Source organism: Homo sapiens, chromosome 11 (assembly GCF_000001405.40).
Source record: "Homo sapiens chromosome 11, GRCh38.p14 Primary Assembly".
Lineage (NCBI taxonomy): Eukaryota > Metazoa > Chordata > Mammalia > Primates > Hominidae > Homo > Homo sapiens.
In genome coordinates, this window is record NC_000011.10 from 74,309,212 (window position 1) to 74,330,172 (window position 20,961).

A 20,961-nucleotide genomic window follows, 5' to 3' on the forward strand; every position below is an offset into this window, starting at 1 on the left:
TTTAGTTTTCTCATGTTTTAACTGATTTCTCAATAGTTAACAAGTGTAATACAAATCTATTTCAAAGCATTGTGTGTGAGAGAGAATCAGATGAGATATGGTTTGTATGAGACCTCCTGCTGTGACAAAGTTGTGATAATGACAGTGGTGGAAAGACAGTGAAGGAGACCAGCATGGTGGAATGGGGTTGGCCAGCTGCTTTGGCCAAAATGCTTCAAGTGCTCTCTTCTGAGAATGTAACCTGAAAGACCAGCAGGGGGATTTTGACCCCCCACTCCCGTCTCCATCTGAGCTACCCAAAGAGATTACTGGTATGAGAACAAGCATGGGTAGCAGGGAGAATGCTGGGCTCTGAAATCAAAGAGAAAAAATTCTGTCCTATTTCCACTAATAAGCTTGGACTCCAATGACTCTGGGCTATGAACAAAAAGAAAACATTTGGCTCGGTCAACATGGACCCATAGAATACTAGACAACTATGCTATTCCAAAGAGTGACAATAATTATTGAAATGATCTTCATTTATTGTTAAAATTAATACATACCTATATTGTATATTGTCACACTATTTCAAGCTGTTTATACGCAAGCCACATACTTAAGGACAAGCACCACATTAGCTCATTCAGTCACTATTAACAAGATCTCTCGCAAATACTTTCCACCCACAAAATGCTTCTCTTCTACATAGCTCTCTCTCACAGTCATGGGGTCACAAAGTTTCGCACAGGGTGACAATGGGTTTGGGGGTCACACTGGACCTCAGAGTCACTCCCCATTCCACATACCTTCTTCTCATGTCACCCCAGAATCAGTATTATTACCACACACACTCACGCAAAGTTTTAAAAGCAGTGCATTGTGCTGTCTTTGCTCAATGATAAGGTCACATGATATAAGTACAATATTAATATATCCAAATAGTGACGTGGTCATAACCACTCTGTCAGTGTTGTAGGCTTCTTGATGTCCCAGGCAGAGAAGGCGCAGCACATATTCATACAGATGGTATCATATACAATCATTTATCTTTCATTTTTGTCAGTTGGACACTGCTAAGTCGATACATGACTATGGTGCCTCAGCATCCCAAGTCTGACAACCTTTTATGCCACAGTGTGTAGCACTAGAGTTTGTTGACTGTACCCCAAAACTATATTAGCTGAGCATCCACTGCTGTGTGCTACACTCAGTATCTTCTGCATCAAGTATGTTTTTTCACAGTGCTTTTTTGATATCAAATATGTTGACACACATATAACATCTCAGTTATCATTTATTTAGTATTTAGAGAGCTTCTACATGTGTAAAGAGAAGGAAGAACTGAAGACGTAGACGGCAGTGGACATCTCTGATTAACAGTCATGGTGCTACAGACCCAAACTCCTCGAGGGCAGAGTTGGCTCTTGATCACCATTTTATCCCCACTGCCTGGAACACTGCCTGGCTCTTAGTAGGCACTCAAAAATATGTGTTGTATGAATTAATGAACTGAAGCATTATTCATATAGCGACCTGTACAGTTACTCAGCATCATTCACATGCAGAGTATGATATCCACAGTGTCGTGCCCATCCAGTCCCAATGACATGTAAACCTCACATATGGTGGAAGACTGTCACCTGACTCCTAACACTAAACATCAGCTCACTAGGTCATGCGGTGTTTCACGATCCCCCCTTGAAAGGTCAATACTTGCGTAGCTAAAGCGTCACCGTATTCTCTCCATGTCACTCTCACAGTGTCTCTGTCACAGCACCGTCCACTGTGTCTGTGTCAGTGTGACACAGGGCCTGGGGCTCACACAGCTTTGCACAGCACATTGTGAGGTCCTAGAGTCACCCCGCCCCGCTCTTCCACAGTGTATCAACTTTGCTGTGTGACGCTGGATATGGGGGGTGCCACTATGTGTGTGATGGAGTCTGCAGTCCCAGTGTGACCCAACCCTCGCCAACACCTCATGCCACGGAGTGTCAGGGTCCCACACAGGGTGACAATGGGTCTAGGGGGTCACACTGGCCCTCAGAGCCACTCCCCACCCCATGCCACAATGTCTCAGTCGCACGGTGCGACAGTGGGTCTGGGGTCCCACGCAGCATGACAATGAGCCTGGGGTCACACTCAACCTGAGTCACCCCACCCTGCGGCACAGTGTATCCCACTGAGGCCCCTCGGTCGCTCCCACTCGTCGTGCCCTCACCTAGTCAGGTCCCGCAGCCGCGCCTCCTCCCCGCGCAGGTACCGCCTCAGCAGCCCCAGCAGCCGGCGCTCGGGCGCCAGGGCGCGCGCCACGCTGGTCAGCGCCGAGAACGTGTCGCCCCGAGCCGCAGCCCTTTCTGGGTCTCCTGTCCCGAGCGCCAGCACCGCCAGCAGCGCCGCCAGCCGCGCCCCAGGACCCATAGCCAGCGCTCGCGAACTTCCCCTCAGACAGTCCTGGCCGCGCGGCGGCAGCCGCTCCCGCCCTCGCCTGCCCCGCCCCTGTCTCCGCCCCCTCCCGGCTCAGGCCCCGCCCTCTGGCCCCGGCCCGGCCCGTCCCGTCCACCGCCCAGTCTCGCTCCACGCCCCCTGACTCCTTCCTTGTTTCGACGCCTCACCTCGCTCTCTATTCCTCAGCTCCTCGGAATGCGTGGGGGCTTCCTGCAACATCAGTCTCCGCCGCCCTCCACTAAATCGCGACCCTGGGAAGGTGTTTCCACTGTGCCCATCACACTAGGGGAAATTGAGGCGGAGGCAGGGTGAGCGATGAATTCACAGGTCTAAGGCTGTGACTATCCCCAAATATTGTTAACACCACGCTCACAGGATCCCCAAAATATCCGCCCCTCTGTACCATGGAGTGGGAATACACAAACACCACTGGATCCCCACAGGGACGTCCAGAAGAGTCAATTATGCGTATGTGAATAGGTGCGCAGGCAAAGAGCGGCAAGAGGACAGCTGGGAGGAAAACCCTCACAGAGAGCGTGACATCTGAGCCATCTGAAGGATAAGTAGGACTGTGTCAGGATGTGAGTATATGACAAATCTAGGACTTACAGAACCTGAAGCTCTGGGGTCCTAAAGTCACTGCTTTACACAATATACTTAGAGTCACTTAAGCAAATAAAAATATTATTATTATTATTATAGCCTACTAGGCTATGTACTCTATTTCCCCCCTCTTATGCATTTCCCAGGCAATGTTCATTCATGCAACAAATATTTATTAGTACCTGTGTTACTGTGCTGCCTACACAGAGAAATAGCAGATCCAATCCTGGACTCAAAGGAGGAGACAGTTATGTAAACAAGTAATCACAATAAAGTGCTGTCAGAGTAACTGAGGGTTGTGCAATATGCAATGGCAACACTGAAGAAGGAACCCTCATGTAGTGGGTGGAGAGGGCATCAGAGAGGAGGTGATGGGTGCTGGTTCAAAAGGATGAAAAAAATTGGAAGTTGACAGGCAAGGGAGGAGTGGGCTTTCCTGGCAGAAGGTACATGGGCGTGACAAGGTTTGGAGGTGGAAAACAGTTTGAGTTCCAGAAATGATGAAAAGTTTCTTGTGCTTGAAACTATCAGATTGTGAAAGGTCTTTGCATGTCATACTAAGAAATTTAGGTGCTTGTCCTCTATGAAAATCCAGTGGAAGTTTTTAAGGTAGCAATAATTGTAATAACAATGGCAACAGTAAACATAGTAGTTAATACTTACCGGGTGTTTCCTGTGTGGCAGTCGCCATCCAGAGTATTTTACATATATTAACTCATTTAATCGCTGTCCAGAGTATTTTACATGTATTAACTCATTTAATTCTCATGCTGACCCTATAGCCTAAGTAATATTAGTATTCTTACAGTATTATTGGCCCCACTTTACCGATGAGAAGACTGAATTGTAGGGACAATCATTAACCTACTCAGTGTTAATCACTTGTGGACCACATTCGAGGTGTGCTGGTAAACCAGCTCTCCAGGAAAAAAATAAAGTTCTGGTTTGTGGCATTTGCCAATTTCTGTGGTGTCAATTCTCCCACAGTGGCTAATTTCGACATGCAAAAATGTCACCACTGACTGTGGTTGGATAAAGATGCCAACAACTCCTGTGAGCTGGGGTGAGCCAGCTCCAGCACACCACTGCTTGTGTAGACATGAGATGTAACATGCAGATCCCCCTTCGAAGAAGGACTTGTTGCACAGCTGCAGGGTATGTGATGAGAAGAGTATCCAGTGGTCAGCTGCTTTAGGGTCTGTCCTATAGCAGAGAGCAGTCTCGCTTAGGGAAATGTCCTTCCTGGAACAGCCCTAATCCAGCAATGGAGCAAGGTGAGGGAATCAAGGCCTAGCCATTTTGGCCCATCGTGAGACAATTCTTACAGGAAATACTAGCTCCAGCGCACCTGCCACCTTGATCAAGGCTTTGTCAAGCCTCTTTGACTTCTTCCTCTGCCTTTTCCTGCTTCCTTTCCCTTTCGTAGATGCTGATCTCTAATAAACATCTTGCACCTCAAACTCCAGCTGTGCCTCTGCTTCTAGAAAACCCAATCTGTAACATCAATTCAATCAACATACATAGTAAGTGGTAGAGAAGGGACTTGAACCCAGGTCATGTGGATCCTGATTCCATATTCTTAATCAATACCAGAGGCAGATTTACCTAGAAGGTTTTGAAGCTTAAGCTTCAAGGCTCCTAGCTTGCACAAACCCTTTCTAACTGAGTAGCCTTCCCATAGAAGGTATTCTGACCATAGAAGATTAGGGACTGTGGTAGGCAGAATCATGCCCTCCCTCCAAAGATGTGCATGTCTTGATTCCCAAAACCCATGACTGTGTTACCTTACATGGCACAAGAGACTTTACAGATGTGATTAAGTTAAGGATCTTGACATTGGAGGATTATGCTGGTTTATCTTGGTAGTCCCGATGCAATCATGAGGGTCCTTAAAAGTCATAGAAGGAAATGTGACAATGGAAGCAAAGTCAGAAAGATTTAAAGATACTTAGTACTATATTGCTGACTTTAAAGATGAAAGAAGAGGCCACCAGTCAAGGATTGTGAACCGCTTCTAGAAGCTGGAAAGGCAAGGAAACAGGTTCTCCTCTAGTGCTTCCAAAAGGAACAGAGACCTGCTGACACGTTGATTTTAGTCCAGTGAAACCCATTTCAGACTTCGGAACTCCAGGGCTGTAAGACAATATATGTGTTGTTTTAAGCCACTGTGTTTGTGGTCATTTGTTTCAGCAACAGTAGGAAACTGATAAAGGAACCCAAAGGTATCTGCTTTGTATTGTCTCTGTCTCTTTAGCCCAAGTGGGCAGTACTTCTATTGATAAAATCATCTTAAAACCTTTGAGGATTTCCTGTAAATCTTATTGGAGTTCTTTCCGTTAGACAAAAACCATATCTATATTTCTTCCCAAGAAGTGCCCTTCTCTAACTTGGGCTGAGACTCAGGGTTGTGGTACAACAGTCTTAAAAGTCTTTTTATTTTTTTAGAGATAGGGTCTTGCTCTGTTGCAAGGCTGGAGTGCAGTGGCACGATCACGACTCTCTATAGCCTTGAACTCCTGGGCTCAAATGATCCTCCTGCTTCAGCCTCCTGAGTAGATGGGACTACAGGCACATGCCACCATGCCCAGCTCATTTTTGTATTTTTTTAGAGACGGTTTCACCATGTTGCCCAGGCTGGTGTCGAACTCCTGGCCTCAAGTGATCCACCTACCTTGACCTCCCAAAGTGCTGGGATTACAGGTGTGAGCCACCATGCCCAGCCAGCCCTAAGATTCTTAGAAGCATTTTTTTTTCCTGGTTGAAATATAAGGTACACCCATAAGATTCTTAGAGACCTTCTACAAAACCACAATATAACCACCAATATTAGGAAACTAACATTGACAAAATACTAATACCTCGAGTCCACATACCTTCTTCAAATTTTCTTGATTGTACCATTTAAATGTGTTGTGAATCTAGGATCCTATCCAGGACTATTGGTGTGCTCAGTTGTCATATCTCTTTAATGTTCTTCAATCTGGTACTGTTCTTCAATCTTTCCTTAGTCTCTGCTATCTTGACATATTTGAAGATAACAGGCCAGTTATTTTTTGGACGATCTCTCAATTTGAGTTTGTCTGACGTTTCTTCATGAGTAGATGCAACTTTGGCAGAAACACAACAGGAATAATTCTTTGTTCTCAGTGCATCATGTCAGGAGGCACAGTATGTTGATTTGTCCCATTGCTGGTGGTGTTAACTTTCAGTCCTTGGTATAAATGATGTATGCCTGGTTCCTCCAGCATAAAGTTAATGAAAAAGTATTTTCTACTTATTAATTAGTAGGTTATTAGTACTTATTGGCATTCTCTGGTCATATAGAGAATATATATATTCTCTATATTCTTCTGTCCCAGTTACTAACTTATTCATTTACTTATATCAATATGTATAAGTTCATACATGTTATTGAATGAATTATAATTAACTATTTATTTGATGTTCAAATTGTCCTGGAGTTGTCCTTGCCAACACAAGTTGACTAACTCCTTCAATATGGCTCTTGTGTCCCTTTGTTATGTCCCCTTTATTCCTCTCATTCTATAAGTTGTTAGTTATAAGCTATTCCAGGTAATCCTGTAGTGTCTTTCCCAGCCCCAGTCCCAGAATCAGGCATTTCTCCAAGGAGTGCTGGTTCCTTTTAATGGAAAAGAGTATTAAGAAACCAAGATTTGGGTGCTGGTGTGCTTACTGTGACTGGGATGCTGCTGCCCCCAGGTTCTTTCAGCAGATAGAGCTACAAAATTGTATATCATAATTTTGTTAAATTTATTCCTAAGTATAGTCTTCTTTATAAAATTGAAGTATAATTCACATAGTATAAAATTTACCTTTAGTGTACAATCAGTTGGTTTTTAGTATTAATATATTCACAAGGTTGCAAAACCATCACAAATATCTGATTCTAGAGTATTTTCTTCACCTCACAAAGAAACCCTGTACCCCTTGGGAGGCTGAGGCAGGAGCATCACCTGAACCTGGGAGGTGGAGGTTGCAGTGAGCAGAGATCACACCACTGTACTCCAGCCTGGGTGACAGAGTGAGACTCCGTCTCAGAAAAAGAAAAAAAAAAAAAAAGAAAGAGACCCTGTATCCATTAGCAGTCACTCCCTCATGGCAACCACTAATCTACTTTCCATCTATATGGATTTTTTTTATTCTTGGCATTTCATATAAATGGCTTTGTGTGGTTTTTTAATACTATTGTAAATGAAATTTTTTCTTAATTTTATTTTCAGATTGTTCATTGCAACTGTATGGAAGTACAATTGATTTTTGTACATTGAGCTTAAATCTTGTAACCTTTTAAACTCATTTAATGGGTCTATAGTGTGTTTTGTGGATGCCTTATGATTTTACATATAGACAATCATAACATCAGAAAATAGATTACTTCTTCCATTCCAGTCTGGATGCTTTTTATTTATTTATTTAGCTAAAATGACTTGGCTAGAATCTCCAGTATAATGTTGAATAGAAGTGGTAAGAGAAGGCATTCTGATCTTATTTCAGATCTTAGGGGCAAAGTTTTCAGTCTTCTTCCATTAAGTATGATGTTAGCTGAAGGTTTTTTGTTAATACCCTAATCAGGTTGAGGAGGTTCCCTTCTGTTCTTAGTTTGTTGAATGTTTTTAATCTGTAGAATGCATTTTCTATCTTTACTGAGATGGTCATGTGGTTTTCACCCCTTATTTTCTTAACATGGTGTGTTATATTGATTGACTTTTGTATGTTGAACCAACCTTGCATTCCTGGGATAAATCTCACTTGCCATGATGTATAGTCTTGTTCATATGTTGCTGGATTTGGTTTGTTAATATTTTGTTGAGGATTTTTGTATCTATATTCATAAGAGATGTTGGTCTGTGGTTTTATTTTTATCTGATATCTTTGTCTGTTTTGGTATCATACTTTTGATCTCACAGAATGAGTGGGAAAGTGTTCCTTCCTTGTCTATATTTTTATGTGAGTTTGTAAAGGACTGGAGTTAGTTTTTCTTTAAACATTTGGAAGAGTATACCATGCAAGTCATTTAAGCCTGGGCTTTTTTTTCTCCTGTGGGAAATGTTTTGATTGCTGAGTCAATATCTTTAGAAATTCTTTTAGAGCAAGTCTGCTGGCAATGAATTCTCTTAATTTTCTTTCATCTAAGAATGTAGTTATTTTACTTTTATCCTGAAGTATATTTTCACTGAATGTAGAATTCTGAGTTGACCTTTTCTTTTTCTTTTTTACCATTTTTTCTTTTCTCCTTCCTTCCTTCCCTCCCTTCCTCCCTCCTTCCTTCTCTTTCTCTTTCTCTCTTCCTCTCTTTCTCTTTTTCTTCTTTTCTTTCTACAAGATCTCACTCTGTTGCTCAGGCTAGAGTGCAGTAGTGGTGCAATCATGGCCCACTGCAGCCTTGATCTCCTGGGCTCTGGCAAAGCTTCCTGAGTAGCTAGACCCACAGGCCCATGCCACCACACCCAGCTAATTTTCTTTTTTGGTAGACACAGGGTCTTACTATGTTGTCCAGGCTGGTCTTGAACTCCTGGGCTCAAGCGATCCTCCCACCTTGGCCTCCTAAAATGTTGAGATTACAGGCATGAGCCACTATATCTGGCCATGTTCATTTTCTAAAAATCTTTTTCTCTTATTTGATTAGACAATTTCTGTGGGTCCATTTTCAAGTTCACTGACTCTTTCCTGTCATCTGTATTCTGCCATTAAGTCCATCAGTGAGTTTTTTATTTTGGTTATTATACTTTCAGCTCTAACATTTCCATTTGGTTTCTCTTTATGTCTTCTATTTGTTTGTTGATACCATTTCCATTCAAGAGTGTTCACCTTTACTTCTTGGAGCATTCTATAATGCCTAGCTTAAAGTCTTTAACAATTTCAACACTTATGTTCTCTCTTCATTGGCATCTGTTGGCTGTTTTTTCTCATGCAGATTAAGATTTTCTCTGTTCTTTGTATGCTGAGTAATTTTGGATTAAATACTAAACATTCTGAATATTATACATGTCTAGATCTTGTTTAAATCTTATGGAGAGTATTCATACTTTCATTTTAGCATGTAAATGACCCAGCTGGATGCAGGCCACAAAATGTGACCTGTCTTTGTGGCTGTGGTTCCAATGTCAGTTCAGTTTTCAAAGCCTTGCAATACTATTCAGACCTCTTTCAGTTGTGCATACTCAGTGGGCAGTCTTGGATCTGGATAGTGGTTTATCCCTTTATCCCATACCTCAGTACTCAAGTCTATGGTATGCTATTTAGTATCAGATCCATGCATGCACAGCTCAGAGGTGAACCCAGGAATTACGGCATTGCTCTCCTGAGCTTGTCTCTCTATGATGTTTGATACTTTCCAGTCCCCTGAGGCTCCCCTTTTAGGTCCTCTCACAGAAAACCTGAGATTTCACTTACCCCATTCTGCTATGTACTTCTCATGACTGCATGTATCCAGGGCCAAGTAGCAGGAAGACAGAGTCCTCAAATGCCTGTTCTGTGTATTCTGTCCAGGTTTTACAATTGCCAGGGTAGAATATATCTATTTCATCTTCCCCACAATCAGAACCTCCTAACTATAATATTTTGTTTTACTTCTGGATCAGAGAGGAATTTTTGAAGTCACTTTGAGTAATAGCAGTGTTCCAAGTTTAACTAAAACAAACTAAAATTTAATGAAATTATGCTACAAGTGTAAATAATTACATGACGACATTAGAATAGGTATTTTCCGAACACTGGTAAGTTTGTGAGGGCTCAACTTACATTCCTGTTTGGAACAACTTGCTAAATAGCAAGTTTTTTTTCAACCTGTATTACTAGACCATCCCTATTTCTGAATGTCAAAATAGTGAAAAATTTGTATTAGTTTTGAGGAAATGTTACTATAATAAGGCTTTTGAGTTTTAAAATGGAAAAAAATTGACAGAAAAGAGTTGAGGAAAAGATCAAGATTTTCAAATAATTATTAAGTCAGGAAAAGAGAAAGGCTTCTCTGGAAATAATAACCACCCTCAGCTTCAGCTTGTGCCACTCTCCTCTGCTCTCTCCACTCCAGCCATGCTGGCCTTTTGTCTTTTCATTTCTTGCTCTTGGCAAGCTCTTTCCTGATTCATGCGGAATTTCTGACAGACTAAATCCTACTCATCCTTTGAGTCATTTCCTCAGGGACATTTTATTTGTCTGCAGACTAGGTTCAAGTCTTCATATTATTCAAAACACACCCTGTATTTTCCCTTGGTAGCATTTATGACAATTATAATTTTTTATTTGGGCCAGGCACAGTGGCTCACGCCTGTAAACCCAGCACTTTGGGAAGCTGAGGCAGGAGGATCACTTGAAGCCAGGAGTTCGAGACCAGCCTGGGCAACAGTGAGACCCCGTTTCCACAGAAAAGTTAAAAATTATCTGATTGTGGAGATGTGTGCCTGTAGTCCCAGCTAGGAGGCTGAGGTGGGAGGATTGCTTGAGTCCAGGAGGTTGAGGCTACAGTGAGCCAGAATTGCGCTACTGCACTCCAGTTTAGGTAACAGAGTGAAAGCTTGTCTCAGAATAATAATGATAATAATAATAATAACTATTATTATTACTTCTTATTTGTATAATTAATGGCTGTCTGCTACACTAGATCATATACTTCATATAGGTGAGATGGTTCCTAGCTGAGTGCCTGGCAATTGCAAGTACTCGTTTAAAAATATAGAATAGACTAGGCATGGAGGCTCAGGCCTGCAATCCCAACACTTTGGGAGGCCCAGGAGTTCAAGACCAGCCTGGGTAACGTAGAGAGACAAAAATAAAAATATTAGCCAGGAGTGGTGGTGCATGCCTGTGGTGCGAGCTACTTGGGAGGCTGAGAAAGGAGGTTGGGAGATCAAGGCTACAGTGAGTCATGATTGTGCCACTGCACTACAGCCTGGGCAAGGTAGCAAGACTCTGTCTCAAGAAAATAATTCTGTTTTTTTTTTTTTTTTTTTTTTTTTTTTGGAGACGGAGTCCTCCTCTGTCCCCCAGGCTGGAGTGTAGTCGCGTGATCTTGGCTCACTGCAACCTCCACCTCCCAGGTTCAAGCAATTCTCCTGCCTCAGCCTCCCAAGCAGCTGGGACTACAGGCGCCCACCACCATGCCTGGCTAATTTTTTTGTATTGTTTAGTAGAGACAGGGTTTCACCGTGTTGCCCAGGCTGGTTTTGAACTCCTGAGCTCAGGCAATCTGCCCACCTCGGCCTCCCAAAGTGTTAGGATTACAGGCGTGGGCCACCACACCCAGCCAAGAAAATAAAAATGAAAATAAGAGAATAGATAAATAAAGTAGAAAGAGCATTCAAAACAATCCTGTTAATCTCTTTATCAAGTGTCTCTAGTGCCAGTCTTCTTCCAAATCTTTTGAATTGCCTGTCCTCATCATAAGCCTATGAAGTATGTATTGTCCTGCATTTTACAGTTGAGAAAACCAGTTTATGGAAATGAAGTGACTCAGCTGCAAGACGGTAAGCCCAGGGTCCCCAGCTCTCAGTCGAGTGCTCTTTCCATTGCATCATTACTTCACATTGCTCATTATCAGTTCCTGGGTTAGCCTCCCTTCTACATCCAAGGAATATTTCCAGGGGACTCACATCACCTCAGTTTCTCCTTTATATTATGAAAGGATGAAACCAATAGATCAGTGTTTCTCAGTGTGGTCCACAGTCTATTTGCAACAGAATTATTCAGGTAAATGTGGATGTTCTTATGAAAAATTCAGATTCCAAGGTCCACCCAGATTCATTGAATCAGACTGTAAGAGGGTGGAAGACAGGCAAAGTCCAGGAAATCTGCATTTATAACAGGCTCTTGAGGTGATTCTTACACACATCCGAGTTGAGAACACTTCATTAGGTGATCTTCAAAGTTCCTTTCCGCTTTGACAGTCTTTGCTTCTAAGACATTAAGTTTGGGGGGCATGTCTTTGCATCTCTATCATCTTTTACAGAGCCTGGAACTCAATATATTTTTAGTAAACTAATACATTTGTATTCGAAAGACCCAGATTCAAGTCCCTGCTTAGGTAGGTACCAGCTGTGATTCCTTGGGAAAATTACTTAACGTTCTAGAAATATCATTTTTAAGATGGAAATAATAACAATCTCTATCCTGGCTGCCAACATCTGATGTGGAAGATAAATTAAATCATGTTTGTGAAAGCTGTTATGGTGGTTCCAAGTTGAAGAACCACTACAGGCATAAAGTGGGCACCAAGCAGGGGTTACTAAGTCCTTCAGACTCACGGGTGGCTCACATACAGCTCTCTCCAGTGGACTGAATGGGGAGCTTATTAAAACACAAAATAAAACCACTACCACCTTTGAAAAATCACATTTCCATTCGAAGTAGGTAGAGTCTTTCCATGGAAATAACGTGATTTTTTAAGACTCCGAGGCATTGCCACAGTGACCCCTAGTGGAGCTTATAGGCCAGCTCAAACCCACCATCCTAGTCCCACATTTGCTGTTGGCTTAGCGGAGAGATCAATTTATTAATTCAATACATCTGTTCTTCACATAGGCTAGGAAATTTTTGTGAAGCTTCTCTTTGTCCTCAGAGTCTAGCATTCATTCATCCATTCAATTATTACTGAGCATCCCGGGTGCCAGCTGCTGTGCTTGGCCCCAGAGGGACCCAGCAGACATTGGGATCCTCACCCTCAGAGCCAGGTGGGGACAAGTTAAGTAGTGGAGACAGAGAAGCAAACAGCCAACAACAAGAGTGACACATGCTCCAAAAGAGGAAGTGCACGGAACTACGGAAGCCACTTTCTTTGGCAAAATCTCAATGATCTGTTTTGAGAATAAGCATAGCACATTGAGGGATGAATGGCAAAAATGAGGCATGAAGTGTAAACAGGAGCCAGATGGCGAAGGGCCTACTCTATAAATAAATTTGGATTTTATTCGAAGGTCAATGGGAAATGACTGAATAGTTTTAAGTACAGGAATTATTCGATGTTTGTTTTTTAGTATCATGCTGGCTTCAGCAGGTAGAGCTGATGGGAGGAGGTAAGACAGGAAGGAACTGCATAGTCCAGGTAAGAAGTGAATATTAGGTTGGGAGGGGCATACAGGGAGTTTAAAATATATTGATAAAATTGCATTTCTTTCCCTGCGTGGTAAGTACAAAAGCATCCTATTCTTTATACCTTACATTTATACTGCACAAATTATGTAGTATGTATGAAATAGTTCATTTAAAAACATATAGAACTCACAGGGGAAAAAACTATATATTTTTGATATGTACATATGTCACATAAAGATAAAATTTGGAAGGGAAGGATGGCCTCCCACTTTGTGATGAGGGTGGCCTCTGAGGAGGTATGGCAAATTGTAAAAACAGCCATGATCCTTATTCCTCTCCATATCCACACCCTTTGCTATATGACTTTGTATCTCCTGCTTGAATCTGGGAAGTCCTTATTATTTTCTTTCACCAGTAAATTGCAACAGAAGGAACAGTGCATCAGTTCTGAGCCTAGGTGTCCAGAGGCCTTGCATGCTTTGGCTCTCTCTTTTGGGGCTCTGCCCAGGCACCCAGGGAACACCCTGGGCTAGCCTGCTGGAGTGTGAGAGATCATGTGCAGCAGTGCTCAGCCAACCCAGCCGAGGCCATCAGAAATTAGCCAGCACCCAGTCAACTTGGCAGCTGACCACCAACAGAGAAGTGGACTCACTCAAGACCAGAAGAAATATCCAGCTGACCTCAGTCAAAACTGCTAACCCACACAATAGTGAGATATATAAATAGCTGCCGTTTTAAGCCACTAAGTGTTGGGGTAATTTGTTTTGCAGCAAAAGTAGACTGATACAGAAATTGGTGTCCGAAAGTGAGATGTTAGGCCATTAACAATACCCTAAAATTTGTGACATTAGCTTTGAGATTGGGAGTGGTTGGAAACTGGGAAAATGGCAAGAGCAAACATATTGAAGTCTGGGGAAATGATGGGAAATTATTACTAGAGGCTGGAAAAACAGTAATCTGTGTTTCATAGTGGCACTTTGTAAAGACCTCTGCAAGAATTAAAGTGATGTCTAGTCGACCTCTAGACAAAAAAAAACCTTCTTGGAAACTTAAGAGTGAGATCCCACAGAAGCCCAATTCAAAAATACCAGTAATAAAATCTAGAGAGATGTCACAAAACAGTTGTGTCATTTGGAGTATGGAATAGACTGAAATTATTCAAACTACCAATTATTCAGCTACCAACATGGGCCACATCTTCAGAAGTAGCCAAGGAAGGTGACAGACAAGGAATATGTTCCAAAGGGTATAGTCAAGAGCCGCAGAGATCAGTGGAGCAGGAACCCCCTCCCAGGGAGTAAACTCTAGACCTGAGCAAGAAATACACCCTCTCCTGGGATAGTGAGACTTGTAAACCTTTGCCCAGCTGGAGTTCAGAATTGCTATGTGTCTCTCATTCTTCCCTTTTTAATTTTGTTTTGTTTTGTTTTTGTTTTTTGAGACAGAGTCTTGCTCTGTTGCCCAGGCTGGAGTGCAGTGGTGTGATCTCGGCTCACTGCAACCTCCCCCTCCCGGGCTCAAGTGATTCTCCTGCCTCAGCTGCCCAAGTAGCTGGGACTACAGGTGTGCTGCCCAATGCCTGGCTAATTTTTGTAATTTTAGTAGGTTGGTCTTGAACTCCTGTCCTCAAGTGATCTGCCTGCTTCAGCCTCCTAAAGTGCTGGGATTGTAGGCGTGAGCCACCGTGACCGGCGTTCTTCCCTTTTTTAAATGTAAGTGTCTATTGAGGATATCCTGCCTCCGTCTCAATGTACAGTAGGTATGCGGGAGGCAAATAACTTGTCTTTAATTCATCGGTGTCAGGATTAAGAAGAACAACATCCATAATGTCACATACAAACCTGATGTGAACCACAAGATCCTGGTCTTCAAGCCTGATGACATAATTGCAAGAGGTGTTTGGGGGTCTTGGAATGGTGGTAAGCATATTTTTCCTGTGGGAGCAATGTGAATAATTATGGTCAAAGAGTAAACTGTGGTAGATTACAAAATTTGCCACACTCTTTCCATCCTCCCTGAATTCATACTCTTTGAATTGTGACTTTGCAGCATCCCCCATCAAGAGGTGGAGGGAGACTATTTCTCCTCCCCTTAAACCTGAACTGACATCATGACATTTTTGGCCAATGGAATGCAGCAGAGAGATGGTACAAATTCTCTGTCTAAGCCTCAACATGCATCGCACATCTCAGCTCTTTTTTTTGAAGTCCTGTCCCACTACTCATATGAAATGACCTGAGCTAGCCTGCTGGAGGACAAGAGATCACATGGAATAGAGATGAGCCATCCCAGCGGAAGTTATTCTACATTATCCAGGAACCAGCCAATTTAGCAGCTGGCCTCAGACCCATGAATAAACTCAGCCAAGACCAGGTGAACAACTCACCTGGGCTTAGCACAAATGTTGACTTGCAGAATTATGAGCTATATAAATACTTGCTATTTTAAACCACTAAGTCTTTGGGGATAGTTTGTTATTTGGCAAAAGCTAACCAATTAAAATAAATTGAACCAATATAAGAGTCAAAGCACAAAATTGGATAGAGAAGTACTTAAAAGGAAAGGGAAATATGTGAGATAAATGAGAAAGAGTGCTGATCTTTGTTGTTCTAGGTGGTGGGTACCTGGGTGTTTGTTGTATCCTTCCCTCTAATTTTCTTTATTTAAAGTTTTTACCATTAATAAAACTAGATTAAATTATAACTTTAAAGTAAAAAGAATACAAGTTGGAGTTCCAAAAGGCTAAGATTCCATCTCCTGTCTGCACCCTAATTAGGTGATCATACTCATTTCCACAGCTTTTTTTTGTTTTTTTTGAGACGGAGTCTTGCTCTGTCACCCAGGCTGGAGTGCAGTGGCGTGATCTCGGCTCACTGCAAGCTCCACCTCCCAGGTTCACGTCATTCTCCTGCCTCAGCCTCCCGAGTAGCTGGGACTACAGGTGCCTGCCACCATGCCCGGCTAATTTTTTGTATTTTTTAGTAGAGACGGGGTTTCACCGTGTTAGCCAGGATGGTCTCGATCTCCTGATCTCGTGATCCGCCCGCCTCGGCCTCCCAAAATGGTGGGATTACAGGTGTGAGTCACCGTGTCCAGCCATTTCCACAGCTTTAAAGACTTTGGTATGTTGATAACTTCCAAATTTATATCTCTAGCTCAGACCTTTCTTCTGAGCTCCAGACTCATATTTCCAGTTGCCTACTTGATATTTACATTTGGATGTCTCTCAGGTGTCTCAACCATGACTTGTTTAAAATTGATCACTTAATCTTTCCCTCTGTTGTGGCCAGTCCCCAAGATAGCCCCCAGTGATCCCTGCCTCCGGGTACTCACACACTATGTCCCTTTCACACTGTAGGAGGATTGCAGGATTGCTATATGTTACCATAGACTTGTACAGAAATGACAGTGTGTGACTTCCAAGGCTAGGTCATAAAACACACTGTGGCCTGTGCCTTACTCTTTCTTTGGATCACTCACTCTGGAGGACGCCAGCTGCCTTGTCACGGAGACACTCAAGCAACCCTACAGAGAGGCCCATGTGGTAAGGAACTGAGGCCTCTTGCCAACAGCCATGTGAGTGGGCCATCTGCCCACTCTGGCTTTCCTTATTTAGCTCAGATTAGCCGAAGCCTGGATGGAAGCCATTCAGCAAGTCACAAGCAGCCTTCCCAGGCTTCCCAGGCTTCACTCAGATAGCCCCTCTGTCTGGAGTTGAATTTACATATATGCCATGTGCCCCTCCCCACGCCTTTGCTTATCACAGCCTACTTGCCTTTAAAAACCCAGTTCAAATTCCACTTTTTTTTCCCCTTTTTTATTTTGCCGAAGACTCATGATATTGCTTGGCTTGGTGCTAGGTGCTTGGTGCTGGGGGTACTGCACTGACTCAGCTGATTCCAGCTCTCAGGGGGCCCACAATTCACTGAGAGAGTCCAATCATTTCAGTCTGGTATGGGAAGTGCTGCAACAGAGGGGCAAATGGAGAAGGAGAGGTGGGGCCCTGCCAGCTTGGTTAGGGCCACAGTCAGGAAAGGCTTTTTGGAAGGGGTGGTGCTTGAGTGAGAGTAAAAGGAAGACCAATCTCTGGCAAAGTGAAGAGAAGTCCAGCAGTGTTGTCGGCTGAGGCCCCTCTGCCCCATCTGTTGTGCTGCCTGTCATCTCAGGTAGAAATCACACCTTTCTCTACTCCGGACTGATGCCAGCATTCCATGAGTATTAATTTCTGGACTTGGGTTTTTGAAAACAAAACCCAAGGAAGGGGAGGGGAACCCCAAACTGGTTATATAAGGAACAGCAGCTGAATTATGCATATTTAGACTGGGAGGTAGGGGGACTGAGTGAAAAGGAAATGGACTGTTTTTATAACACAGAGCTTCCAAGTGCAAAATGTAGGAGCTGCAGAAGGCAGAGGTCAGCTGAACACAAGAAAGAGCTCTCTACTGGCCTTTATTTAAAAGAGAATGAACTTGTTTTGGCCCGTTGTCCCTGGAGAGGTTCAAACATGTATCCCCACTGGAGGTCACATCATAGAAAATGGTGACAGTTAGGTAAGATGCCCTTTAAACTCCTTTCCAGTGGAAATTCTGTCGCACCACCATCATCCCTCGATGACTCCCGTCAGCTGCTGACTTTAGTCCAAGCTCCATGGAGCAGCACACAGAGCACTCCACCTCTCCACTCACATCCCTACCCACACCCACTCTCAAACTCCAAGAGCAACACCAAATCACTGGTGCTCTGCACACGTATGCCATGTTCAGTATTTAAAATACCCTCCCCTATCCCTTTGCCAGTGTTTATTCTCCAACACTCAGCACTAGCACTGTAGTGGATTTTTGTCACTTTTTTTTTGCACTATTATTTCCAATTTGGCAAATTAACTCCCCAACTGTGTCTCAATGGAAAGGTAACTAGTGTCCTGCCTCTTACTAGAAGTCAGGAGGAAGCTAAGGGAGTCATATCCTTCCTTTATCAGCCTCCAGTTGCAGCTAGGAGGCAGGCAAATGACAAAAATCCAGCCAACTGGGCCTTCTCTCAAGTTACTTTGAATCCAAAGTCATAAGGAATAGATAAAGGTGATTTTCTGGTGGTGTGGGGGCAGTAGCATGGTGTCCTTAACTGGTTGTTTAGGCAGTAACGTGGTTGTGTCTTTTTTCTTACTTTTTAGACTTCTGGAGTGCCCTTGTTTCTCATTTCCAGATTAATCAATATGTATTAAATGAATGAATGAAGCAGAGGGATAAAGGTCAAAGACTTAATCTAAAGCAAATTATGTGCAAGGTCGGACCACTTAATGATCAGAAATGGAGGTAAAGAGAGGGAAATAAAAATAAACAGGAGAATGGTCACAGCACTAACAGAAATGAGGGGAAGTGTTGGTTTAGGGAAGATAGAGAGGAAGGATAGCGAATACCAAATTTTTATTATAATCCCCCCTCCAAAACGTTTCCATTTATATACATACCAACTCTTCTCCTTTAGTGAGAACAAAAATAAAACCCTGCTCCCTCTCCCTCTCCCTCTCCCGTCTCCCACTTTCCACGGTCTCCCTCTGAGGCCCAGCCTAGGCTGGACTGTACTGCCGCCATCTCGGCTCACTGCAACCTCCCTGCCTGATTCTCCCGCCTCAGCCTGCCGAGTGCCTGGGATTGCAGGCGTGCGCCGCCACGCCTGACTGGTTTTTGTATTTTTTGGTGGAGACGGGGTTTCGCGGTGTTGGCCGGGCTGGTATCCAGCTCCTGACCGCGAGTGATCTGCCCGCCTGGGCCTCCCGAGGTGCCGGGATTGCAGACGGAGTCTCGCTTACTCAGTGCTCAATGTTGCCCAGGCTGGAGTGCAGTGGCGTGATCTCGGCTTGCTACAACATCCATCTCCCAGCCGCCTGCCTTGGCCTCCCAAAGTGCCGAGATTGCAGCCTCTGCCCTGCCGCCACCCAGTCTGGGAAGTGAGGAGCGTCTCTGCCTGGCTGCCCGTCTCTGGGATGTGAGGAGACCCTCTGCCTGGCCGCCCAGTCTGGGAAGTGAGGAGCGCCTCTTCCTGGCCGCCATCCCATCTAGGAAGTGAGGAGCGTCTCTGGCCGGCTGCCCATCGCCTGAGATGTGAGGAGTGCCTCGGCCAGGCCGTGAACCTGTCTGGGATCTGAGGAGTGTCTCTGCCTGACCGCCACCCCGTCTGGGAGGTGAGGAGCGTCTCTGCCCGGCCGCCCCATTGGGGAAGTGGGGGGCAGCCCCCGCCCGGCTGCCGCCCCGTCCGGGAGGTGGGGGGCGCCTCTGCCCAGCCGCCCCGTCTGGGAAGTGAGGAGCCCCTCTGCCCGGCCGCCACCCCGTCTGGGAGGTGTACCCAACAGCTCATCGAGAACGGGCCATGATGACGATGGCGGTTTTGTCGAGTAGAAAAGGGGGAAATGTGGGGAAAAGAAAGAGAGATCAGATTGTTACTGTGTCTGTGTAGAAAGAAGTAGACATGGGAGACTCCATTTTGCTCTGTACTAAGAAAAATTCTTCTGCCTTGGGTTGCTGTGAATCTATAAACTTACCCTCAACCCCGTGCTCTCTGAAACATGTGCTGTGTCCACTCAGGGTTAAATGGATTAAGGGCGGTGCAAGATGTGCTTTGTTAAACAGATGCTTGAAGGCAGCATGCTCCTTAAGAGTCATCACCACTCCCTAATCTCAAGTACCCAGGGACACAAACACTGCGGAAGGCTGCAGGGTCCTCTGCCTAGGAAAACCAGAGACCCTTGTTCACATGTTTATCTGCTGACCTTCCCTCCACTATTGTCCTATGACCCTGCCAAATCCCCCTCTCCGAGAAACACCCAAGAATGATCAATAAATACTAAAAAAAAAAAAAAAAAAAAAAAGTGTAATAGATATAATTTGGTGAACATTGTCAATTTTATAAAATTAAATCTTTTTCATTCAGTTATAATAAATAAATAAATAAATAAATAAATAAATAAATAAATAAAACCCTATTATTTTAGGTTGTGTTAGCTGCTTGGTCTCTTTACGTGGGTCTCAAGTCAATGGCCTTGCCCTTTACTTTCAGAGACTGTTACATTTAAAGAATGCATCAAATAGCACATACCCAGTGGCAGGAGAAATCGAAGATGATTTGGAGGTTTCAAACCAGGGAGATATACGGCCACTCAGGAAAAGCAGGAAGAAAATGTGGAGCTTGAGATTTCAGCAGGTATGTTGTGAGCAGAGATGACCCAACAGCAGCAACATGTCTCTAAAACAGGTGGTATCGCCACTGCATATTTCTCGTGCAACTCTGCGCATATGCAGAATCAAGGATTTGGTGTTTTTCTTCTTCAAGAAGAAACATGACATAGGTTCTTTCATCTGACAAACATTTATTGGGTACCTACTGAGGGCCATACACTGTTCCAGGCAGTGGTAAAGTAGTGAAAAAGCTATGCTCATGAAGACAGATAATACTACTACTTAAATTGATTTGTTCATTTGTTTATGTGCTATAAAGAACAATAAACTAGGGAAAGTGGTTAAGGACGGGGTCGGCATGGTTCTCAGAATATTCCATTTAGAAGCTGACAAAAGGACCTCGTAGAACATTCCTTTCAGTCATCTTCCCTTTGAGCCTGATCTGGGAAAGGCAGGCAACAGAGACCAGGACCACAGATTCATAAGAACCCTTGGAAACTCAGTCCTTCATCAGTATTGAAGCATAGATCTACGGTTATTACCGTGAGAGATTTCCAAACTTTAAACTTTTGTCTTATTATAGTAGCTGGCGCTAACATGGGCAAACAAATTAGATCAGCTTAAGGAGAGAAAAAGAAAAGAAAAATAAGAATGTTAATGTTAGTTCTCACATCTGGGACTTCTGATAAACCAATCAAGAAATATTTCC

The 20,961-nt window shown here is 43.7% G+C and overlaps 1 protein-coding gene and 2 long non-coding RNA genes across 10 annotated transcripts in view; 2 read left to right on the forward strand and 1 right to left on the reverse strand.

Moving 5' to 3' along the window:
- The window catches only part of P4HA3 (prolyl 4-hydroxylase subunit alpha 3), a 61,495-nt gene extending 59,066 nt beyond the window's left edge, over nucleotides 1-2,429 (reverse strand). For all 8 annotated transcript variants that reach the window (XR_007062475.1, XR_001747837.2, NR_110031.2 and 5 more), the window contains exon 1: nucleotides 2,201-2,429. Coding sequence is in view for 3 of the 8 variants with exons in the window: in NM_001288748.2 (NP_001275677.1) it covers nucleotides 2,201-2,400 (200 nt within the window). In the remaining 5 variants the exon portion in view is untranslated. The remainder of the gene's footprint in view (nucleotides 1-2,200) is intronic.
- Nucleotides 2,151-15,494, forward strand: P4HA3-AS1 (P4HA3 antisense RNA 1). Its single transcript, NR_120556.1, has 7 exons — nucleotides 2,151-2,238; nucleotides 2,614-2,735; nucleotides 2,908-3,008; nucleotides 13,023-13,090; nucleotides 13,496-14,792; nucleotides 14,884-14,999; nucleotides 15,130-15,494. It is a non-coding gene; the product is annotated as a P4HA3 antisense RNA 1 (long non-coding RNA).
- Nucleotides 15,495-19,091: 3,597 nt separating this feature from the next.
- LOC112268078 (uncharacterized) overlaps nucleotides 19,092-20,961 on the forward strand; it is a 40,429-nt gene continuing 38,559 nt past the window's right edge. The window contains exons 1-2 of the long non-coding RNA XR_002957258.2: nucleotides 19,092-19,261; nucleotides 20,134-20,277. This is a non-coding gene — a long non-coding RNA (uncharacterized LOC112268078). The remainder of the gene's footprint in view (nucleotides 19,262-20,133; nucleotides 20,278-20,961) is intronic.